The 23,676-nt window shown below is 49.2% G+C and overlaps 8 annotated features.

The window, feature by feature from the left end:
• Nucleotides 1,591-2,107: an enhancer, noted in NCBI's record as "H3K4me1 hESC enhancer chr1:181065969-181066485 (GRCh37/hg19 assembly coordinates)". NCBI's record gives its function as "activates a minimal SCP1, AML or CMV promoter by ChIP-STARR-seq in naive H9 embryonic stem cells {active_cell/tissue: H9 hESC(naive)}" and the evidence as "EXISTENCE:reporter gene assay evidence [ECO:0000049][PMID:30033119]".
• Nucleotides 4,441-4,640: an enhancer, noted in NCBI's record as "active region_2174". NCBI's record gives its function as "activates an Ori minimal core promoter by ATAC-STARR-seq in GM12878 lymphoblastoid cells {active_cell/tissue: GM12878}" and the evidence as "EXISTENCE:reporter gene assay evidence [ECO:0000049][PMID:35858748]".
• Nucleotides 9,698-9,757: a silencer, noted in NCBI's record as "silent region_1605". NCBI's record gives its function as "represses an Ori minimal core promoter by ATAC-STARR-seq in GM12878 lymphoblastoid cells {active_cell/tissue: GM12878}" and the evidence as "EXISTENCE:reporter gene assay evidence [ECO:0000049][PMID:35858748]".
• Nucleotides 9,778-10,267: a silencer, noted in NCBI's record as "silent region_1606". NCBI's record gives its function as "represses an Ori minimal core promoter by ATAC-STARR-seq in GM12878 lymphoblastoid cells {active_cell/tissue: GM12878}" and the evidence as "EXISTENCE:reporter gene assay evidence [ECO:0000049][PMID:35858748]".
• Nucleotides 9,778-11,005: a biological region, named in NCBI's record as "H3K27ac-H3K4me1 hESC enhancer GRCh37_chr1:181074489-181075383".
• Nucleotides 10,111-11,005: an enhancer, noted in NCBI's record as "H3K27ac-H3K4me1 hESC enhancer chr1:181074489-181075383 (GRCh37/hg19 assembly coordinates)". NCBI's record gives its function as "activates a minimal SCP1, AML or CMV promoter by ChIP-STARR-seq in naive H9 embryonic stem cells {active_cell/tissue: H9 hESC(naive)}" and the evidence as "EXISTENCE:reporter gene assay evidence [ECO:0000049][PMID:30033119]".
• Nucleotides 10,528-10,577: a silencer, noted in NCBI's record as "silent region_1607". NCBI's record gives its function as "represses an Ori minimal core promoter by ATAC-STARR-seq in GM12878 lymphoblastoid cells {active_cell/tissue: GM12878}" and the evidence as "EXISTENCE:reporter gene assay evidence [ECO:0000049][PMID:35858748]".
• Nucleotides 16,579-17,778: an enhancer, noted in NCBI's record as "P300/CBP strongly-dependent group 1 enhancer chr1:181080957-181082156 (GRCh37/hg19 assembly coordinates)". NCBI's record gives its function as "activates an origin of replication core promoter dependent on BRD2, BRD4, P300/CBP, MED14 and CDK7 cofactors, with strong dependence on P300/CBP, by STARR-seq in HCT116 cells {active_cell/tissue: HCT116}" and the evidence as "EXISTENCE:reporter gene assay evidence [ECO:0000049][PMID:35650434]".

Raw genomic sequence — 23,676 nt, forward strand, 5'->3', positions numbered from 1 at the left:
TTCTTTTAGGGGACTGGCATAGAGCTGGCCTGGTGTATTATATTAGTCCGTTTTCACACCACTATAAAGAAATACCCAAGACTGGGTAACTGACAAAAGAGATTTAATTGGCTCACAGTTCGCATGTCTGGGGAAGCCTCAGGAAACTTACAATCATGGTGGAAGGGGAAGCGGGCACGTCTTACATGGCAGCAGGTGAGGGCACGTGTAAGCGCGGGAAAAACTACCATTTATAAAACTATCATGGGAACAGCATGGGGGAACCACCCCATAATCCAATTACTTCTCTCCCCTGACACTGGGGATTACAACTTGAGATTTGGGTGGGGACATAGAGGCAAACCGTTATCATCTGGGATATTTGCAGTAAATCTACTTTTTATGTAATAAAGTTTTCTGGGACCTGGTCACAAGAAGCCTCTAGGCCTGTGTGGTAAGCCATATCCCTAACTTACAGGATGGTGAGACAGCTGCCCCTTTTCCATCCATTTAGCACCAAGGCAGTCCTGGTCCCAGCCCTCTGCTTTTTCCCTATGAATGGGGCCTCTGCAAGGTTGCCCCAGCCCAATCGTTCTATCAGATGCCAAGACAAGGCTCCTTTCAGTTTTTCTAGAATTCAGGGATGTGCGGAAAGCCATGTGTTCCCACCTGCTTGTTCTTCAACCCATTCCACCTCTCAAGTCGGGGCAGAGCAGCTGTTGGAAACTTGCATGCTGTGAGGTAAAAGAAAAACCATTTTGTTCCCTCTGTGCAAACACTGATGTTGTCTCTGAAGTGTAGGATTTCCTTTGGTACTCTCTACACTTGATCCTCTTCCAGAATCCAAGATACCATCCATGAGTTTTTCTCTATGTTGATCCACATCTGGTTCGTTCTTTCTAGCCAGTCACAGGATCTGCCTGTCTTCTGTGGCACAGATACTTCCTTCAGCGCTGTAGCTGTTTTGTCTTTCCATTTCTGTCTGTCTGGGTCTTTCTCTGTCTCCCCTCCCTCCACCCTCTCTTGAGGACTCTCATGTTCATTATTTTCCTCGGGAAGAATCTGACTGCTAAGGAGAGAACTGTGAGTGGGAATGCTACAGCCTGCTAAGAAGGAGCAGAGATTTGGATTTCCTGACCACGAGACTTGCAAAGAATCTCCAGAGACTCTGGGCCCTGGAGATCAAGCCACAGCTGTGTTAGCTGGAAATCATCCTCTCACTGTGTCTCACCAGACCGCCAATTCCATCATAATAGCAGGGGGTGGGTAGGGGAGTATACATCCTAGAAACAGGAGCAGCAGCTGAAACCCAACTTGGCTTGTGGCCAGATGCAGGAAAGGAGAGGCAAAGCCAGGGGAGCCCGAACGTGGGCTACAAGGCATTTCCGCTCCCCACCCCAACTTTTTTTTTTTTTTTTTTTTTTTTTTTTTTTTTTTTGCTGGAACTGCGTGTGCTGCTTTCTAGAACAGATAATGAATCACAGAGCTGCTCAGATGGAGAAATCCAAAAGTGCCTCTTTGCCTTATCTCCCCCTTCTAGGCTTTGATTGATTAATAGAGACTTTTTACAGAGTCACTAAAGTGGGAGTGGGGAGTCCTCATAACCCCCTGGGGTCGTGCAGCAGAGGTGACCAGCGGGAAGTGAGCTACAGGATTGTGAAGTGATGTGGGGAGGTGGAGGAGGAACTGCCACTCAGTCAAGTTCTGCTCAAGAAGGTCTGCTATGGGCCGAGTGAATTTAGGGCAGGAGCACCCCACCCACTTTTTTCTCCTTGGCTTTTCTTAAACTGCATCACAACCTCCTGTTTTCTTCAGACAATTTCCAAGTTTTATTTTTGGTTTGGAAAAGGGTGAAAGTGCCTTGGCATCTGCATTTATCAGCTAGCACTCTGTGTGACCTACTTAAGAGACTGTGTAGTGACTTTTCTTTTTAGGGCCATGGGAGAAATCCCTAAAAGCAAAGATTCAGTGTCAGAAACTGAAGTTGAGGTATATGGGATGCTCTGCTTGGGTGATTATGTTCTACAGCTCCTGCCGGTTTCTCCCCGCACCCCCCTGCCTCTTCAGAATGCATTTTGAAAGGCGCTCCTAGCCTGCACTGCAGAGAGCAGCTGTAAAGATGCGGTGTGGGGGCGATTCTGGTGCGTGGGCTGGCCCAGCTGTCTGCTTCCCAACCTTTCAGTCACCTCAGCATCAGGCATCTGGCTGCCTAACATGGAGCTGGCAGCTTGCTAAGGCTCCTGAATGCCCTCAGGAGATGAAGCGGGGAGTCTCTTACTTTACCAGGCAGAAAAGACTAAATGAGGTCCAGAGAGTGAGCAGCAGGTCATCATGAATGGTCAAGTGAGGACCCAAGCAGAGGCAGTGTTAGAATCAGCCCTGGACTGATTCCTTGAGACCTCTCTGGGCAAAGGGCTGTGGTCTTGACTCTGAACATGTGACTCACGATTTGAAAAGTCATTCATCTTTGTTGGTTTCTATTTACAGTTTTAAAATAAAGTATCCACTTGCCTCACAATTGTGATTAGAAGATAAATTAGTGTTTGTAAAGCAAAGCTAAAAGATATAAACAACTCACTCCTGGATCCCATCAATTAAGCATTGACAGGAACACCCAGAAGAAACTCATGAATAGGGAATACAAAGATGCAGACAACAGGACCCTGGCCCTCACGACCATTACATTCCAGTTAAGACGCAAAACAACATAGAACCCCCCCAAAACTTGATAGTATGTTAAGTGTCGGCTAGTCGCTTGCTTCTTAAAGTATGGTCCAGGGACCATGGGTATCATCTGGGAGCTTATGAAAAATGGAGAGTATCTCAGGCCCCACTTCAGACCTACTGAATCTACAGTTTAACAAGATCCCCAGGTGATCAATATGCACATTAAAGTTTAAAGAGCAGATATTTCCACTGATCTCAGAATCAAGCATGAATTTCTCAGCTTTAGGTCACTCAAGGTCCAGCTGTGTCTTGTTATTTCTTCTCTCACATGCTGCCTCCAGCCATACGAACTATCTGCAGTTTAGGTAACTTATTTGCAGGCTTCTGGGCCTCTTCACGTGCTGCTTCCTAGAGAGGCATGGTCAAGTTTACAGCTTAACTGTGAGAATAAAGAAACTACAGGGAAGGAAAAAGAGCAGAAAGCTAAGACCTAGTGATGAGGAAGCCTAGAGGTAGGGGCTAGAATAGGAAGAGGGCTCTGTTAAAAGGAACAGTTTGCAGAGAGGTAGGAGTAGAGTCTGGCTGCTGTGAAGGGAGATGGGGCAAAGAAAATGTCCTTGAACTAAGACTGCCATTAGTGAATTATTATTATTATTTGAGACAGGGTCTTGCTGTGTCTCCCAGGCTACAGTGCAGTGGAACGATCACAGCTCACTGCAGCCTCAGCCTCCCAAAGTAGTTGGGACTACAGGAGCGCACCACCATGCCAACTAATGTTTATATTTTTTGTAGAGATGAAGTGTCGCCATGTTGCCCAGGTTGGTCTTGAACTCCTGACCTCAAAAGATCTTCCTGCCCTCAGACTTTCAAACTACTGGGATTACAGGTGTGAGCCACTGTGCCCAGCCACATTTTTTTTCTTTTAGAGACAGGGTCTTTGTTGCCCAGGCTGGAGTGCAGTGGTGCAATCATAGCTTACTGCAGCCTTGAACTCCTTGGACAAAGTGATCCTCCTGCCTCAGCCTCCCGAGTAGCTGGCACTACATGCACACGCCTCTATGCTCAGCTAAGTTTTAACTAGTGAATTTTGACAGAGGTTCTGTAGAAGATGGTAGAGAAAACTAGATTATAAGTGAGTGGAAAGATGTGGGGGCCCTGGCTGTAGCTCCTTCCCCAAGAAATTTGGCATAAAGGCAAAAAAGAACCAGGTGGCAGCTAGAAAGGATCTGGGGTCAATTGAAAGGGCCTGCACATGTCTTAAGGCAGAACCATTGGGTGCAGAAAACAGCTAGAGTGACGGTGAATGGGATTTGAATACATAAACTCCTAAATATGAGTCTCTTATCAGGAGGAATAAACCCTTTCTTTTTCTTCTCCGGTCAAATAAAAGGAGACAAGAGACACTAATAAATCACTCCAGGGACCTTGTTAGTATCAGCAGTCTGCATTCCCCTCCTCAATCCCAGCTCACGAAGAACCTTGCAGCTGAAACTCCAGCATACCAGTTGGCAAGGTAACAAACTGCTAAGGGATCCTGGAGAATAAAAGGATCACTCCTGAAACCCTAGTGCTGCCAGCTACTAATCTAAAGATAGAGATTTCTGATGCTTCATCCCCTTTATAGATTAGGAGTTTAAAACATATTGGAATGGAAACATGTGCTATGAGGAAAGCAGGATTTGTCATTCTTGCCAGCAGAAAACACACATGCACACACGTGCACACGCGCACTTGTAGTCTGTTCTCATTTGGAAAGCCAGTTATGAATGAGCATGGTTTCCTGGGTAAAAATTTTCTCTTCCTTCCCTCCCCACCAAGTCTGACCTCATCTGTCATTTTCAGTGTTATGGAGGATTAGTCTGAGACTGAAAACAGGTTGAGACATGTCCAAAAAAGAGGCTCCGGATACCGAGAGAGGAGGGAGAGAAGCCAAGCAGTTTGAGGTCTCTTAAGGCAACTGACAAGAAGATCAAGAGAAGAATGTTAAGAGTAAGAGAGGAGAGTGGAGTGGACGGATAGGGAAGGCAAGAGAGACAGATGTCTGTGATGATTTAACGAGAAACACGAGATTAAAATAAATTCAGAGTCAGAAAACAGGAAGAATGTGAGGAGAAAAAGGTAATGGACTGAGAACTGCAGTGTATTTGATAAAACATAGCCCCGTTCAGATGGAAAAACAGCATCATCCCCCAGCAAACTCCTCTGGAACGTGGGGGTGGGGGGAATGCAAAAGAATTAATAGCTCCACTTGGTAGTGGGATCCTTTCATGCTAAAGGTGTGAAAGTGATTTACAAACCGGCATCATTACTGGACCTTTGTCACAGTTTGCTGAAAAGATAAGGTGAGGCTCTAACTTGTTAGTCTTTGCATGCCTAGACCACCCAGAGACAAAACTCAACCCAGGGCTCAAAATTCCTCCAGTCTGTTTGCTCTCTGTCCTAATTAGTGAAGCTATTTCTAAAAACAAACAGATATCTCGTCTCACAGATTCCCTCGCCCCACTGCTATCTGCATTTAGTGCCTTCTCCTGACTTGTCTGATTCTTCCACTCGCATTTCTTCTCAGGTACCAGGGTTGCAAATCTTGGCCTTACCCCCTACCTCCACCCCCCATCCCCCATACCTCTTACCAACACATCTAAACACTCGTTAAGCTCACAGCATTATCTTCACAATGTAGTTCACTTCTATTCCTGCTTTCTAGTTCCCACTGATACCATCTTCGTTCTTCAAACACTTCTTAGTCTGTTCTCCATTTCGCGTCAAAGCCCCCCTCACCCCCACCCCAGCCCTACCTTATAACTAATGGATTACTCATCTGACAGTACAGTTTTGGTGATGTTATCAGTCTCTGACTCAAAAGCCTCTAATAACTTCCCATATTCTCTATGAACTCCTCTGCCTGCCAGTCAGCCTTTCATTTAGCCATCATTTATTGTCTACTTTGTGTCAGGCACTGGGTACAAAGATGAGTAAGGAAGTTGATATCTAGAGGGAAGAGGGATGAAAAATGGATCATTACAATCCAGGGTTAATACTACTGTGATATAGGAATACTGATGAGGAATACTTAACCCAGACAGAGTGTGAGGGAAGGGTTCCTGCGAAGAGGAGGTTATTTCTGCGCTGAGTCGCAAATGGCAAATTGGACTTAGCCAAGTAGGGAATAAGGGGGAAATCATTCCAGGCAGATAGAGCTGCATGTGCAAAGGCCCTGAGGCCTTGAGAGCTGGTAGGAGCTGAACATCACAAATGCTTCCTTCCTTCTGTTTGGAGCACGGGTGTGAAGAATGGCCCTGAGGATTAAGAGGGGTCAGATTGCAAAACACTGGGCATGCCATGGAAGGGGGTTTGGTTTCACCTTAAAAGATGTGAGGGAGCCAAGGAAGGCTTTTAAGTGGGGCAGGGGAGCATGGTCCAGTTAGAGGGCTGTTCAATAATGCAGGTGAGAAATGATTGGGGCCAATAGCAACAGTGGCACTTCTCCTGAGGCATCTATCGTACATTGCCTTGTTATTTGTGTACATATTTTAAAATTTCCTGAAATGTCTTACCTCTCTTATTCTCACCAAGTTGTAAACTCTTTGAAGATAAGTGCTAGACCTTAATCTTTTCTATGTCAAAACCTTTTCTGCCAGGATCTGCTCTGGTATCAGCAGAACCAGAGACAGTGAAAAAATGGGGACTAGCCTAGAAGCAGTAGGCAAGAGGGAGCTCCCCAGCCAAAAGAGAGAAAGGAATGTGAGGTTTCTTTTCACTCCGACCCCACACTTCCTGCAGCCCAGCTGGGTTCCCGCTCTAGTTTCTGAGAAGCAAGGTCTGAGTCACCTCTTTCTTCCTAAACTCCCCTCTTCCCCAAAGGGATTGGAAGGCTGGAGGGGTACTGAGTAGGAAGGATAGCAGGCAGCACCATCTGATTCTATCCCCTTCTTGCCATACAGACAAACGGCAGCGATACTGACAATGGCCAAGCCCTGAAGACCCTAGCCAGAATGTAACGTCCACCTCTCATCCCTGGGACCCGGCTTCCACTGGGGTGGAATTTCGCTTGGAGAGTAGGCAGAGGGGGGTGAAATTAGCCTTGAGAAGCTGGGTGGGAGGTGTGGGGAGGAGGGCTTGAGGGAAGGCAGGGAGTGGAATCAAATAATTTGAACCACTTCTCGGGTTACCGGGCTCTTCCCTGTCTTTCTGGTAATTGCTTGTTTACTCACTTCCTGGTTCTCAGAGGCTGTTGGACTCCTGCTGTTCTGGGAGTTGTGGGCTTACCTGACCCCCCTCCTCCCCACACCTTCTCCACTGTATAGAACCTACTGGGAAGGAACAAAGACCAGAGTTCAAGTCCTAATGAGGTCTCCAGTGAGGCAGAGATGATAGTCTTCATTTGGTACCAGGCAGAGAGATGCTGAAATCCCAGAACCAGCCCTTAAATTGGCTGTTGGCCTGGTACTCAGAATGAGTACCCCTGGGAGGTGGGCAAGCTTCTGGAACCTGGTTTCTGGGAGAGGGGCTCTAAGTGCAAGGGCCCTACTGGGCCTATTTTGTCCCTAACCTACAGTCCCTCCCCAAGAGAGCATCTGAGTGCTGTGATTTAATAAATAATAAAAGTCAGAGTAAGGATATATGATATACACAAATACGCATATTGTACCCATAAAGAAAACAGTAGACAAATAAATCCTCCTATCTGACTATAACTGGTAAGAGCTTGTACAAATGTTCCCAAAAGGAGACAGATATTAGCCCCTTCATTAGTTAAGGTCCTTATCTGCATTTCTATGGTGAGGGATGATCATGTATTCATTTAAGTATGACTCTGTGCCTCTGGAGACAGAGATTCTGCGAAAACATTGATTAGGGGTAGGACCTTGCTAGAAAAAGTCATAGGTGTGCAATTCATATCTTCTAATTAAAGCACATTATCACTTACTTACAAATGGTTAGGGCTTTAATAAACTAACCCCTTAGGAGACCCTAGCTAGGTCCAAAAACAAAGATAATTTTCTATAGAAGGGTCAACATAAAACTAATGGAAGAGTTTACTATTGCTTTTCCTTAGGCACATTAGGTCCTTAAGGACTCTTAGCCTTGATCTCTAAGTTCAGGTCTCCCCTTTGGCCAGGGCCCTAGGGAGGCCATGAGTCCTTGGGAAAGTGAAAGCAAAGCTGAATCTCCAATGGCATCTGGGACATCTCTGCCCCTTCCTTCTCTGTACTGTACCCTATCCTCAGCAGCACTTGTGGCTCCCCCAAAGCCATGTTTTCCCAGTCTTCCCCTGCCTGGGCCACCCTTCCCATTTACCTGCTGGGCCAATGAATCCTTGCAGACTTTTCTACTTGATGTAATGATTTGTTCACGTTTCTTTGCTTGACCAGACTGTACCCTCTCCACCTCTAAATCATATTCATCTCCTTATCCCTCGAATCTAGCCCAGAACCTGGCAGATGCTAGGGACTAGATGTTGTCTGGGGAGACTCTAGTTCTAGTTCAGTCATTCACAATCTGTGTGACTTTCAGCAGGCCTTTTAATCTTTTTGTTTCTTAGCTTCTTCATTTTAAAATAAATCTTGCCAATTCCAACTTACACGGTTACAAATTAAAAATGAGACAACTGTGGAAGTGCTGAACAAAACGCCAGGTGGTGGAGGTGGTAGGAGGGGCGCTTAGCTCCAAGCGAAGACATATTTGTCTTAGTCTGCTCTGGCTGCCATAACAAAATATCACAGAGTGGTTTAAGCAAAAAAATGTATTTCTCATAGTTCCGGAGCCTGGAAATCTGAGATCAGGGTGCCAGCATGGTCAGGTTCTGTTGAGGGCTTTGTTTCTGGCTTGCAGATGGCCGCCTTCTTGCTGTACCCTCACATGGCAGAGGAGAGAGCGAGCTCCTAAAGACCCTATTTCCAGATATAGTCACATTAGGGGTTAGAGCTTCAACACATATGAATTTTGGGGAAGCATATCCATTCCACAGCAATGCTGAAGGAGATTCATCAGCACATAGCCCTTCAGTCCTGTTCCCACCTCCTACAGCTTGCAAATCTGAAGCACCCCACCAACTCCGTATTGCAACTACAGTAATCATGACTTGTATACCAATTTATAGATGTTTCAATAACTAAAGCATTTGTATAACATATCCTATGGCTTACGAAGAATATTTCATACAGTCTAATCTCATTTTCACAACTATCATCTCACAGATGAGAAAAGCAAGGCCCCAATGGCCAGCCCAATCTTATTTCCAGGTCCTTTAACTGTATACCTTCAAACTCTTTAGGCCACACCAAAGTACTCGGTTGTAACCACTTCAAAGAAAACAGGGCTCTAAGAGCTGGTGAAGTCTAAACTCTTCAGTTCCTCCACTGTGACCACAGCTGACCGTCTTTACTTGTTCTATTCGCTCCCATATGAATCCTTTCTTTGTGCTCTAGAATTTTATGGAGTGGAAAATATATATGGAACGAGACAACATTCTTAGAGGAAAGGACTTTACAAATGCGAAGTATTAATATTTTGTTTGATATGGGCACTATTTTCAAAGGACCCTGCATACTTTCTGTGTTTCTTTGGGATGCCCTGCCCACCCAGGACAACTGAAGGAGCCGCTCTGGTTTTAATTGCAGCAATTCACCAGACAGTTTAGAACTTTCTACGTGCCAGGGCCTCTGTCCCCTGCAAAAGCTCACATTCCAAACAAGTCAGGTGTAGGCTCCGCTCCTAGAGAGGGACGGTGTGAACAGAGCTAACTGGGTCGGCCTCTCTCCTTCCGACCTCCTACTCCCCTCCCAACACCTCCTCGCCCAGAACGTCTCAATTCTGACCCAGACACCCTGGGAGGCCGAGAGGCTCCTTTTGGATCTGCAATACACCCTCCTCACCACAACCAACAGACAAAACGCGCGAGTGCCGTGCAAGGTGGAAACCCTTCCCTCCGGGGGGCGATCGCCCCAGTAGGGTGAAGCAGGCCTCTTTGTTCACGGGATGCCTCGCTAGCAAGCCGGCGGCGGGGGCGTTCCCTGGACCGTGAGACCCCGGCTCCCGAGGACGCCTCCCGTGCCGCCGCTTCCCTCAAGCCCAGTGCCGCCAGCGGCCAGAGCTCCGGATTCCTGCCGCCCCCAGCCCACCGGCAAGAGCTGGCTTCATTTTCCCAGTCCCCCTTTCATCTGGCCGCACAGGCAGAGCACCGTCCGCTAAGGTCTCCTCCCATCCCAGCAGGAAGGGCGGGGAGACCCGCGGAGGATTTAAAGGGGCGCGGAGGTCAGGAGGGCTGGGGGCGGCTCCGCGGAGAAAATGGGGCGCGCTCGTCCTCTCCCGCAGCCTCGGCCGCCGCGAAGCTTCCTCCCAGCTCCCGCCTTTCCGGGCCCGGCGGGCCGAGGGGGAAGGGAGGCTTCCTGCGCCGGCGCCCGCGGCTGCCCCAGTGAGGTCCCGCCCGAGAGCAGGCCCAGGCGGGGGCTGGGCGCGCGGCGCGGCGCTGCGGGCTGGAGGGCGGGGGCGGGGCCCGCCGCTTTTAGAGTCACCTCCCGCGCGCCGCGGCCGCCGTTGCCAGGGTGACCGGGGGAGCTCCGTTGTGGGGAGGCGGCCGCGGCGGGTACCGGTGGGCGGAGCTCAGCGGGCGGGGCGGGGCGGGGCGGGGGCGGGGGGAGCTTCCTCGTCGTCATGGGAACGGCGCAGTTATTTCCAGCCCCCGGGCCGTGCCAGTGGCGCGGTGCCAGGATGCGAGAGTATTGCAGGACAGCGGCAATCTGCTGCGACCTGGGACATAACAATGCGCCCCTTCTGCAGCGCTGGGCCCGCCGGCGAGAGGTCTCGCTGGTCTGAGGGGCTGGGGCCGCCCCCGCGCGTCGTGTCTCCTCTCGGCGCTCTTCGGCTCGGAGCCTGGCGGCTCAGCGCGCTCCCGGCTGCACGTGCTGCCCCCGCCGCCGCCCACGCCAGACAAAGCGGGGCCCTCCCGGGCGTGTTTCCTAGGCGCCCCCTTCCCTCGATGAACCCTTTGATTTCTTCCTTCTTCTCTCTCACTTCGTTCCAGCCCCCTCAACTGCCTCCTGGAGCGCCTTTTTTGTGTGCTCGCCATCTCACGTTTGGCCCTCTCTCCAAAGCTCTGCCTTCACGAACGCCTCCATTTGACCTTCCCCCTCCGCCACTCTCTGGTCTCCTTTGGTAGCTTTATCATTACATTTGATGGAAGGGCGACTCTCCCCTCTCCTATTTTCAGCTCCACATTACCTTTTGTATTGTCCTCTCCCCTTCCTATTGGCATCTTCTTTCTGTCCTTGCCCTTTTCAAGACTCTTCCAGAAACTCTCTTGATGTCTCTGCCTCTTTTCACGGTTTCCTTTCCACTTTTTCTTTTCTCTCTGGGCTGTGGGACAGCAGAAGGGAGATTGCAAATGGCTACCTAGATTGAGTGCCCCTTTTACCTCACTGACGCCATCCTTTTTTCTGTCACCTTGAGGTCACATTATTTGGGCACCTTGATGAGGCTTTGGGGATTCTACTGCCGTTGCTGCCATTAGCAGTCTCTTTGCTTGGAAGCTTAAATGAAGGAAATTTCTGGGAACTGGTCAAAGACTCCTGAAATGCACCTTGAGGACTAAACATCTCTCTCCCTCCATCTCTGCTTGGTTACTCTGGTTTGTTTCGAACACCGGCTGCTTCTTCCCACTTCTTGACTCCCTGCACCCCTACCCGCCCCCCCAGCAATCACATTGTTCATCCCTTTGGCACCAGCCCTAGAGAGGAAAGGGTAGGTCCTCCTCTCCAGGAAGGAAGGTGGGGCAGAGTAGCTCCCGCAGGAAGGGAAGGAAAAAGGAGGGAAGGAAGGAAGTGGCCAACAGAAGGTGGAATCCGGTGGGAGGACTTTTCATTGTTTGAACGTCTTTCCTTTTTAGCTCTGCAAAGTCAAGCCCAAGGCCATCTCACCAAGGTTCTGCTGCCATCTCCCAGAACCCCAGCTAGGACTCCCTTGCCAGAGGCTGGAGGGGGCTGAGGTTTTGGTGGACATATTTAAGTGAAGTGGGCAGAGTTTCATGTATGCTGCAAATTGTAAGCACTTACATTTTTAATGTATCCATCTTCTGTTTCTTTTCTGTCCAACAAAGTCAGCTTTTATCTTCCCTTTTCTCCAGGGGGAAAAAAAAAAAGAAAAACTCCAGGGTAGAATTATGCCTCAGGTAAGGAAAATGTATCTACCATTTCCTGAGGACCTTCTACCTGTGAATCTGCTCTTATGTTCTGTAATACTTTACATTTGCATAGGGCTTTTTTCCCTGAGTTTTAAAGGGAAAGGCTGAGTTTTAAAGTTAGTGGGTAAAAGGAACCAAGTAGGGTTGCGATAAGGGTTGAGATGAAGTAGTGGAAATGGGAGCTCTTTAAAACTAAATACTCATGAATACTGCTCTCCAATATTTCCCCACCTTTTTTGTAGCCTAGGCTTAGGGCCAAATGCAAGCCCCAAGAACACAGGCAAGGAAGTGCTTTTGTCCTTTCTAGGCATGTGATCCAGTACCAAAGATGCTTAGTTATGAACGAAGAGAAGTTTGTGGTATGACTATTCTTTTGCATAGTGTATCTTTGCATCTCCATTCACTTAATACCCGAATACCTAGAAAACTGCCAGCCAGGCTTTGGTTCATTGTCAGTGTCTTGTTCCTTGAAAGCCCTAGAAGGACAAAAAAATTAGCTATGCTTTGGAAGACTTTGTCTGAAACCTACACTAGGTTTCAGACAAGGTCATCCAACCTTCTGGATTAGTTAACTGTGTCCTGAACACTGAGCAGAGGCCAGAGGGAGTGGGGTTTTGTTTTTCTCATCCTGGGGAAGCTCATCCTTGTGCTCTGCAAGTGTGTGCTCTGGGGAGAGAGTGTTATCAACACTTCCATGGTGTGGGATGGGGTGGGGGTCAGGAAGGGGGCCAACAACTTTAGAAGGCTTTCTTTTGTTTTCTGTTTTAAGTTGCTGTCTTGGTGATGGGAAGATATGAAAGGGTGGACACCTGGCTGTTGGAGTTGGGACAAGTATGAGCAGAGCTGTGGGGCTTGGCTTCCTTTCCTACTGGCTCATTTCCCCGGGGAGGGGAAGATAGTGGTCTAGAGGGAATTTGCTATCCCTTTCAATCAGCAAACGGACCTGCAAGCCAGTTTGCCTGGGCACTTAGGGCACTGAGTTTGGGGCACCTCAGGGAGCTTATACTCTCCCAGAAAACACAAGCCCTGCAAACAGTTCTCTGGTCATTGTGTGGAGCAGGTGTGGGATGCAGAGGTAGGGCAGATTCCCCGTAAATAGAAGACAGGATTTTCTCATAAACAGAGGTCTCAACTATGAGGGGGAGCTGGGCTTCCTTAGGCATTCCTAGTTATGGAGATGGTCGAGGAGCCTGGGCTGGAAGTTAGCCTGTCAGAAATTCTGCAGCGTTGTGTTTCTGTGCTGGGTAGGGGTGAACTGATGGCCCACATGGTCCCGTCTGACTTCAAGATTCTGCAATTTTGAAATATACTAATGATCCTAGGCAGCATGTGATGAATAGCTTGAGCTTTACTAGGGATTCCATTCATCAAATATTTATTGAGTGTGTACTTTGTACTGCAGCTCTGCTAGACGCTGTAGGAGATTCAGAGGTATGAACAATAGGGTTTAAGATCTTTGCAGAGGCCGCTAACACTTGGAATACAGTGAGGCAGGAAGGGGGTTCCAGGCCAGAATGAGTGGTCCTGCCCCACATTACCACCCCATCAAAACCAGACAGTCAGCATTCTCTTAACACCAGTGCCCTGTGATTTGTTTCTTCCTGAGATGCTGGTTTCAAAGATTTCCAGGGACTTTGATCTGCAGGATGGGGGCAGAAGAGAGAAACCGTGTTAATCCAGAGAGAAAGGCAGAGCGTGTGGGGTTGTGTCTCTAAGGGTGAACGCTGAGTGAGGATAGAGTCCCTCCTGTCAGGATGTGCCAGGATGGGGCAGGCATGAGAACCGGGAAGAAAATGAGGTGGAAATGAATGGGCCCCTGTAGGAGGAGGTAATGAGGTGAATCAGAAAAATCTGTCACTGAGATCCAGGAAGCGACTGGGAGGTTTACTCTCTCTTGGTCCTTTTAAAGATGAGATGTGTCAATTTGAGAACCTGGACTCATGAAGACAGATCTACCAGGCGCCAGGGATGGAGCGGGTGGGAGCTTGCTGTAGCTGCTGTGCAAAATGGTAAGATCCCCATACTTGGGCAGCCTGGAATTGGCCCTGGGGCCCATCTCTCGTTTACCATCTTTGGCAAAAGGAGTCCTGCTGAACCCCAAGAACTCCTTCCCTGGCCAGTGCTCAGTGCCCCCATCCCCATCAGCAGCCCCCTGGGAAGAGTCCAGGTATCTGTAGGGACTCTCAGGACTTGTAAGCCAGAGAGAGCTGTGGGGAGGGGGTGGAGGTGACCACTGCAGAATGGTGAATGTCTGGGGAAATGAATGTGTCCCTTTCAAGGATTCTGATTGGCTCAGTTGTTCAGGGGAGCAACTCAGGAATCAGTTTCATTAGACTCCTTAGCATCTTCAGGGATGCAAACCTCTGCTTTGTTGGTTTATGTCTGTGTGTGTCCTGGAATAACCTCCCTCTACCACAGCTGTGGACACTCTCAGAATCCTATGCCCAGAATGTCCTTCAGGGGATCATTTCTTGTAGCTTGGGAAGGACCTGGGTGTGATTTGAAGGGTCTCAGGAGGAGGGGCAGGCACTCACATGCCCCTAACCATGTCTCCTACTAGCCTGTAGCTTCTTTGGGGACATTGGTCTAGTTTTGAGGCATGATTTTGGGTACCCATTGAAATGCAAATGCTGCCTCTGCACTCCTGATGACTGTGTGCTGTAAGTTGCAGAGCAGCAGGCACAGAAAAGGGCCACCCAGCACAGACCAAGAGCCTGAAGGAATGGGATCTGGGACCAGGGAATGATGGGGATGGGGACAGGTCCAGGGAGGAAAAAAACAAATAAACATGGGGGTTAGGGTTAGAAGCCTTCTTTGCTGTCTGCGCTTCATCTCTGGTGAGCTTGAAGGACTCTGGAGCTGCCCCCGGGTCCTGGCTTGCAGGATAGAGGTGCTCAGCCATCTCTGAACCATAGGGCCTGTGGACCTGACTCTGTGGCCTGGGATATCTGGGAACCTCCGTGAGGTAGATGGGGGCTGGAGTGAGATTTTATTCTACCTTGAATATGAGAATAGGAAGGCTACTTCTGGGAGTTTTGCTCCTGTCTGCATTCAGATCACCTCAGCTTTCTTTGCTTTGAAGAATGAACAGAAGCCAGGGGCTCCATTTGATAAGGGCTCTGCGGGGGAATTGTGGGATGTGGTTGTGAGCTGCAGGGAGCCCTTCTCCTGCCCAGATGATGGATGTGACAACCCTCTGCAAGAGAGGCAGCCAGATGCCAGTTGCTTTTCTGGTGTTAGCTCTCACTGGTGGGGTTCAGCTAGAAAGCCCTGGCAGGTATCATATGCAAACCAAATGAGGGCCAGAGGCACCTGGCCTGAACCCAGGGTCCTCAATGCCAGACACCTGGGAGTTCCCCTGCAAAGGGTAAGGCAGTGGAGGGGAGGGGCTGAGCTGGAAGCTGAAAGAGATGGGGCAGAGGATGGACTCTTCAGCCCCAGAGGAACTGGTCTTAAGCCTGTTGCACTAGTCAGAGTGACCAAGAGGGAGCCCCCATGCCCGCGTGCATAATCAAGTTCTGAGAGCTGAGTGATTAACGTGTAACTCTGGCAACTCAGATCTGGCCATTTTTGGTTACTCCAAGGCCACTGAGCCTTCCTCCTGAGGTTCCCTGCATTTCCCATCTCCACCTGTCAACCTCTGTGTTGGACTGTTTGGTTTTATCTGCATCCTTAGCTGACACGTTCAAGAGCTAATTGAGCTTAGAGGGTGAAAAGAGGCTCACCTTCACTTTCAGGATTAAATTCAAATTCTCCAGTACTAGATATTCAAGCCTTTGTGGTCCATTCCCTGCCTACTTTTACTGCCTCATCTTTTGACACCATCCCACATGCATGGCACCTTCTAGTCCAAACACATGGAGGTGTTTGTAGTTTTCCAGAGGATGGTCTACTGTCATTCTGCTGTGTCTTTGCCCATGCTGTTCACTCTCCCTGGAGCATATCCTTCCCTTCTCCCAATCCAGAGATGCCTGGCTCTTCCTATGAGGCCTTTGAAAGAACTTGTGGCTCGTCTTTTCCAGAGTTACTTTCCCGATGCCCCATGTCTCCCCATTCTGGGGTAAGAGGTCCCTTCTCTGTTCTCCCAGTCAACCCAGTCACGGCAGTTATCTATTAGATTGTGATCATTTGCTCCTTTGTCTTCCTTTTTTTCGGGGGTTGGGGGGATGGAGTTTCACTCTTGTTGCCGAGATTGGAGTGCAGTGGCGTGATCTTGGCTCACTGCAAGCTCTGCCTCCCAGGTTCAAGCGATTCTCCTGCCTCAGCCTCCCAAGTAGCTGGGATTACAGGCATGTGCCATCATGCCAAGCTAATTTTTGTATTTTTAGTAGAGATGGGGTTTTGCCATGTTGGTCAAGCTGGTCTTGAGCTGACCTCAGGTGATCCACCCGCCTCAGCCTCCCAAAGTGTCGGTATTACAGGTGTGAGCCACTGTGCCTGGCCAAGCTCCTTTGTCTTCCTAAGAAACAAACAATTTCTTCTGGGGTTTCTCAGTGCTTAGCACTGTGCCTGATACAGAATCATCACTTGTTTATTTGTTTAGTTGCCAGTTGTCCGTGTCCTCCCCACCCCCACTAGAATTTAAGCTCCATGAGAGCAAAGATCTTGTCTTCTTCATTCACTGCTAAACCCCAATGTCTAGCACATAGTGGGCCTGCCATAAATATTTGTTGAATGAATGCATGGAAGTCATGAGCTGTGATTCACATTTGGATCCTCCCCTGAGTGCCCCAGTGACCTCGTGTAAGTTCCTCAGTATACTTAGGATGGTGTGCGTGTGTGTGGGGAGTTGTGGTGGGACCTGTGTTTAGTGCACAGCCTTATGGACCACTTCAAGTCTTCTCTGTCTGAAATCTTCCAGCCTCTGCTCCTGTGGCCAGTTCTGTGCAGGATTCCCAGCTTTGTGCATGTACAACTCAGAAGTATGGAGGAGTTCGTACCTTGTGGATGAATGCTTCCCCCCATTCTTTTCCCGGTGGATCATCTTAAGATGAGTTTCAGTTTCCTCAGACGGTCTTGCAGGGTTGCAGGGTTGGTTACCAGTTGATCCTTAGCCATAGACAGCTTCATAATGAATCCTATTGACTCTCTGTCCCCTGTTTCTGCCTCCTGGGATTATATTCCCAAACGCACTACTTGCACGTAAGCCTTTGTCTCAGGTTCTGCTTTTCGGGGGAACTCAGGTGAAGACAATCAGGTTCCACTCTTGGCTCTGCTACTAACTAGTTCTATTTTTGGGTAAAACCATTTCACCTGTCTGCTTCTGTTTCTTCAGCTGAAAAATGAATATCATTGCCTACCACACAAGGTTTTTTGTAATATTTGATAATTCAATATATGTGAGAATGTCCGATTCAGTCCCTGCATATAGCAGGCATTCACTAAAGGTTTCTTTCTTTTCTTCCCTCGCATTGCTCTAAAAAGGCAGGTCTGGGAAGCCTGCTTGGCCTGTTGGCCTCCTGGCTGGTGAGGCCTTGTGAACAAATGCTGCTGAACATGATATCTGCTCTGGTGGGAAAGCCAAGCCAGAGGAGCAAAGGGTGACTAGGCCAGATGACTCAGGGGTTTGGCAACTGGATCATTCTCTTCAGAGCATTCTGTAAACATTGGTCAATGGAATCTTGCAACATGCCTGACAGGTGGGAGGCGGGCAGGAGCAAGGGTGTGGAGGATGTGGAGGCAGGGAGGAGGCCAAACATGTTGCTCACAGGGGCCGAGGGCAGCATGTTTAAGATGCTCCTGCAGCATGCTGGTAGGAAATGTTTTCAATGGGGGAGAGGATGGGGTGGTGACTTCTCAAGTTCTATTTCTGTCCCCTGCTTCTTTCCTGTCAACCCCATGGCCTTTCCCGGGTGGCGTCTTGTTGCTGCAGAGAAAAAATCTTCATGCACCCCATGTCCAAAGTAGCTTACAGCCCATAGCCATGAAAAGTGAGAGTACAATTTCTGGCCTTCCTATGGGAGATGAGAGAGGGATTTGGGGGAAGGGGAGCTGCCTGGCTCCCCCTTTATTTATATATGATATACCTCCTCAGCCCACAGGTAAGGCTGGTTCTAGGCACATTAAGCCCATTGGCTCCTGGGAAGATCCTTGGGAAATGACTCAGAAGGGCTGGGTCAGCTTTCATGGTGTTTTATCTTTGAGCAGTGAGACCTCTGCTTCCCACCCTCCCTGGCAGCCTCGGCAGCCAGCTGGGGACAGTCATGCTCGCTGATTTGCAGAGGGATTCTCTTTCTCTCTGCAGCCTCCACCACCCCAAGATGAGCACGGGAAGGGGAGGTTGGTGCCAGGGTGAATGGTTGGGTGCCTCCCCCTCCACAGAGGTGGTCCATCTCCCAGAACCACCCTCCTGCACCTCCCGATGGACTAGATTCCTGCCCTGTTGGAAATCTGGCAGACATCTGGCTTTGACTGGGCCTTCTGAAGTAGCCCGGGAGGGGAAAGAGGCAATTGTCAGCAGATGATAGCCGCAGCTGGTGCTGTGCCTTTGTATCCACAGCCCCTCCACCTCCCTGTCCCTGCCCTGCTCCTTCCTTTTGGTGGCAGCCCAAGGCCTGCTCCCACCTGGCTAGCAAGTCCCTGAACTCCTTACATGCCCACCGTCAGGTCTCTGTGCCTTGTGGTCAGTTGCATTTAGAGACCTGAGGCTCCTCTCACTGCAGCCCCCCGCGGACCTCCCTTCCCTGCCCCCTAGCCAGCTACTGGCTGTGCAGGCACAAGCAGAGCAATCTGAAGAGCTGGGAACTTTCTCTGGAGGGAAGTGGCTGAGAGGGGTGGGGAGAGAGAGTGAAAACTGAAAGGGAGACCGGCAGTGAGAGAATTGTGGCCTAAATTGCCAGGACCAATCATCTCTAGGCGCCCAATTCCCAATTTGTTACATTCATCTGGGGATGAGCATTGAAATAGTCACACGTATATATTGCTTGCATATGCAGACATTCAGTGTGCAGTAAGTCCTCAGCTAACGTGATCGATGGGTTCTTGGAAACTGTGACTTTAAGCAAAATGACATATTGAAATCAATTTTACCACAGACTAATTGATATAAACAAGAGTTAAGTTCCTATGGAATATTTCTGGTCACAAAAATATCACGAAACTTTTTCTTTTCTTTTTTCTTTTTTTGAGACAGGGTCTCACTCTGTCTTCCAGGCTGGAGTGCAGTGGCAGGATCATTGCTCACTGCAGCCTCTGTCTCCTGGGCTCAGGTGATCCTCCCACCTCAGCCTCCCAAGTAGCTGGGACCACAGGGGCATGCCACCCTGACCAGCTAATTTTTTTGGTATGTTTTGTAGAGATGAGTTTCACCATGTTGCCCAGGCTGGTCTCGAACTCCTGGGCTCAAGGGATCCACCTGCCTTGGCCTCCCAAAGTGCTGGGATTACAGGCATAAGCCACTGTGCCTGGCCATCACTAAACTTCTTAATAAAGACTCAAAACATTTCTAATATTAAACACTGAAATAAATGTGAGCTATGCATACATTTAAGAAAGATTAATAAAAATAAGATAATTATTAACCTGCTTTCCAGTTTAGGGTTGAAGCCTATCCCAGCAGCTCAGGGCACAAAGTAGGAACTGACCCTGGAGAGGCCGCCATTCCATTGCAGGGCACACTCACATCCCCACTCGCTCAGACTCGGATCATGGAGACATGCCAATTCACCCAACACGTGCATCTTTGGGATGTGGGAGGACACCAGAGTACACGGAGAAAGCCAGGAGGAGCTGCTGTAGCTGGCTGGCCAAATTTGGTCACACTCATCCTCAGCCCCAACCCTCCTTTCCAGCTATCTGATCCTCCCATACTCCAGGCCCACGGTCCACCGAGTGTATGAATTGTGTCCTTTATCACAGTGGTTTTCAAAGTGTGGTTCCTGGACCAGCAGCATCAGTATCTCTTGAGGACTTGAAATGCAAATTACCGGCCCATCCCAGACCTGCTGAGTCAGAAACTTTGAGAATAGGGCTCAGCAATCTGCTCATCAAGCCCTCCAAGTGATTCTGATGCTCTCTAAGGTGTGAGAACCACTCTTTCTCATGATGTTTGCAAGAATCTGAGCAAAGAATACTTTGTCCAGGGCAGAGAGGCCAAGGCTAGCAGTGGGTAATTGCTCTAACAAGCCAGACTTCCTGGTGAACACCCTACAGCTTGCAACAGGTGCTAGAGGGTCCCACTCACTAACAACTACAACAGAGGCATCCAGAAATGCTGAGCGGACAGTTCTCACCGACATCTCTCCTAACTGGGAGTGGGATTCAACAGAGGTAGAAACGCTCTTCCCCAAAAATGTGGTGAAGCTGGGGAAGAAAGGGGCAGTGAAAAGAGAAAGAGAAATAAGGAAAGAATACGGGAAAAGCTGGGCATGGTGGCTCACGCCTGTAATCACAGCACTTTGGGAGGCCAAGGCAGGCCGATCACTTGAGGTCAGGAGTTCAAGACCAGCCAGGAACCAGTGACTTGCAAGAGGAAACATGTTAGCTCAGCATTAAAATGCAGTGTTGGTTCTGACTTGGTGTCCACATCTTTTCTCTGAAGGGGCCTCTGTGACAGTATTATTTGGTTAGCTAGGTTTTTCTGAGTAACAAGGCTGAATTTTTGGAGGCAAGGAGTATAGTAGAAGGAGCATTGGATAAGGAGTCAGCAAACATGAACTCTTCTACCCACTTTTAACATATCTTTCTCAACTTAATGGGACTTTTTCTGGCCAGTTTCCCAACCTGTGCAGCTAGAGTAATATTATTAACTCCATTTACCTGAAAACAATGCTTTGAGGATAGGATAAGAACCCTGTTGTAAAAACTTTTGGGAAAGTTAAAAGTGTTTAGTATCTAGTCCTACAATACTAGTTTTTGTTGTTGTTGTTTCTTTTTTTGAGACAGGGTCTCCATCTGTTTCCCAGGCCAGAGTGCAGTGACGTGACCATAGCTCACTGCAGACTCGATCTCCCAGACTCAAGCAATCCTCCCACCTCAGCCTCCCAAGTAGCTGGGACTACAGGCACACGCCAATATGCCTGGCTAACTTTAAAACTTTTCATAGAGGCTGGGCGTGGTGGCTCACGCCTGTAATACCAGCACTTGGGGAGGCTGAGATGGGCGGTTCACTTGAGGTCAGGAATTTGAGACCAGCCTAGACAATAGCAAAAGCCTGTGTCTACTGAATATACAAAAGTTAGCTGGGCGTGGTGGCTGGTGCCTGTAATCCTAGCTACTCAGGAGGCTGAGGCACAAGAATCGCTTGAACCCGGGAGGTGGAAGGAGGATGCAGTGAATTGAGATCACACCACTGCACTCCAGCCTGGGCAATAGAGTGAGACTTCATCCTGAAAAACAAAAAAACCAAAATCTTTTTATAGCGACAGTGTCTCATTATGTTGCTCAGGCTGGTCTTGAACTCCTGGGCTCAAGCGATCCGCCTGTCTCAGCCTCCCAAGTGCTGGGATTACAGGCATGAGCCACTGCACCCAGGCGTTTTTTTTTTTTTTTTTTTTTTTTTTTTGACAGGGTCTTGATCTGTCACCCAGGCTAGAATGCAGTGGTATGCTCACAGCTCACTGCACTGGGCTTGACCTCCTGAGCTCAAGTGATCCTCCCACCTCAGCCCCCTATAGCTGGGACTACAGGTCATGCCACCATGCCCAGCTAATTTTTTTGGTATTTTTTGTAGAGATGGGGTGTCGACATGTTGGCTAGGCTGGTCCTGAACTCCTGTGCTCAAGGGATATGCCCACCTCAGCCTCCCAAACTGTGGAGCCAACATGCCCCACCGATTTTTTAAAAATAATCTTCTCTGTGGCCTGAACCCAAAGGGCAATCAGAGTCAAAGGGCAGGTTCATATGTTGGAAATAACAGTTGAGCAAGGACAGGATGTCTGAGCTCTGATTTCAGTTTTGCCACTAACTAGCAGTGTGATTGTACATCAACTGCCTTTCTCTCTGGGCCTTAGTTTCCCCGTCTATAAAATGGGGATGTTAGATTAGATCATGTCTAATGCCACACTAAGATTTAACAGTCTGGAAGTCTATGACTTTAATTAGTTATCATGGTCTTGATTTCTAGGCAGGCTATCATACTCTGGCCTTTGTGTCATGGAGGGAGAGAAGCCAAAGAAAAGAGATGGTGTGCATCAGAATATTGTTGCTAGATCCAGGATGCAGGACATGGGGGATGGAGACTGAAGGCAGAGCTGGAAGGCTGTCATTCTCAGACAATTTTCTGGAAGTCTGGGTGCTTTTTTCACCCATGAAGCTCGGGTTGGCAGCTCATAAACCAGGGAGTTCCCAGGAGAGAGAAGCTAGTGGGCTGGCTTTATAGACTCCTATGCCACCTCTCTCCTTGGCTTCATGACACTGGATATTTGAATTCCAATTGTCCCCTTCTGGAGACCAGCAGGGGTGGAGGGTAGGGAGCTTAACCTTTCAGCTCCACATCTATGCCTTGTCCTTAGCCTGGCCTTGAGAGAGCTGCTCAGAAAGAAGGGCGGTGAGCAGGCCACTGGCTTTAGGAAGGAAAGAGAAAAAGCCCAGCATGCTCTTAGAAGACCAGCATTCCTGCCTCCCCAAGCACTATCTCTGGCTCTCCTGCCACTGGACACCTCTACCCTTAGCCAGGCCAAGGGTGTGTGCCCTGAGCCTCACTCACGTCCTTCCTCCTTAAGGGCCACTCACAGCTTTGGAGAGCAGCTTAAGTGGCAGAACCGGTATCAGAGCACCCCGGGGCTCTGTGAGGCTGTAGCTTCTACTCCTGGGAAAGGCTGGAGGCTATTTCTACTCCCTTAGTCAGCACAGGGCGGGAAGGGTGAGGGCCTGGGAAAGGCCAGTGGTGTGAGCTTCTGCAGTAATTGCTCCTCTGTAAACACAGTAATAGCAGGTCTGGGATTATGGCTGTTACTCCTGATAATTATCAGCTGCAGTGCCTTCCTCCCTAGGTGGGCCACACGAGCTCATCACAGCACAGGGGGCTGTGGAGTAAGCTCCAGATTTCCCAGATCTCTTTCTACAGTTGCTAGGCAACTAGGAGTCTGTGCTGGAAGCAGGGGATCTCATTTAGGAAAATCTCCCTAGGTCCCCCAAATCTCTGAACTCGAAATTGATTGTTCTCCAAGTGGAGGCCTTGAATGACTGACCTCTCACCTGGGAAGGTCAGAGGCCCGTCCAGATGCAAAGGCAGTCCGTCTGGTAACTGAATGAGGGACCCAGCCAGCCCAGGGCACATGGGGAGGAGAGGCTGGTCTGGGAGAAAGCCTTTTGCTGAATCCCATGACTTGTTTAGGGAACGGGGCTGGTTCCTGTGTACTGTGGCTTAGCTGGCTGGGATGAGAAGCAGCTTACAGGTGTCCACCTTGTACTGACCAGAGAAGCCTAAGAGGTGACCCAGAAGAAGAGAAGACTCAGAGGGCTGGAAGGTGAACTTGTGTTATTTGGCTTGGTTTTTTTTTTTTTTGAGATGGAGTTTTGTTCTTGTTGCCCAGGCTGGAATGCAATGGCGCGATCTCGGCTCACTGCAACCTCTGCCTCCCAGGTTCAAGCAATTCTCCTGTCTCAGCCTCCCAAGTTGCTGGCTGGGATTACAGGCATGCACCACCACACCCTGTTTTTTATTTTTAGTAGAGACGGGGTTTCACCGTCTTGGTCAGGCTGGTCTTGAACTCCTGACCTCAGGTGATCCGCCCACCTTGGCCTCCCAAAGTGCTGGGATTACAGGCGTGAGCCACCGTGCCCAGCCAAGCTGGCTTGTTTTTAGTGGAAAGTGCCGTGAGTGTGTTAGGGAACAGGCCCTAGTGTCTTCTGCTCCACTCCAGAGCTCCATGGACCAGTGTGTGAGACCACAGGGGAGGAGAAAGTTCTTG

The sequence above is a fragment of the Homo sapiens genome, chromosome 1, assembly GCF_000001405.40.
Source record: "Homo sapiens chromosome 1, GRCh38.p14 Primary Assembly".
NCBI lineage: Eukaryota > Metazoa > Chordata > Mammalia > Primates > Hominidae > Homo > Homo sapiens.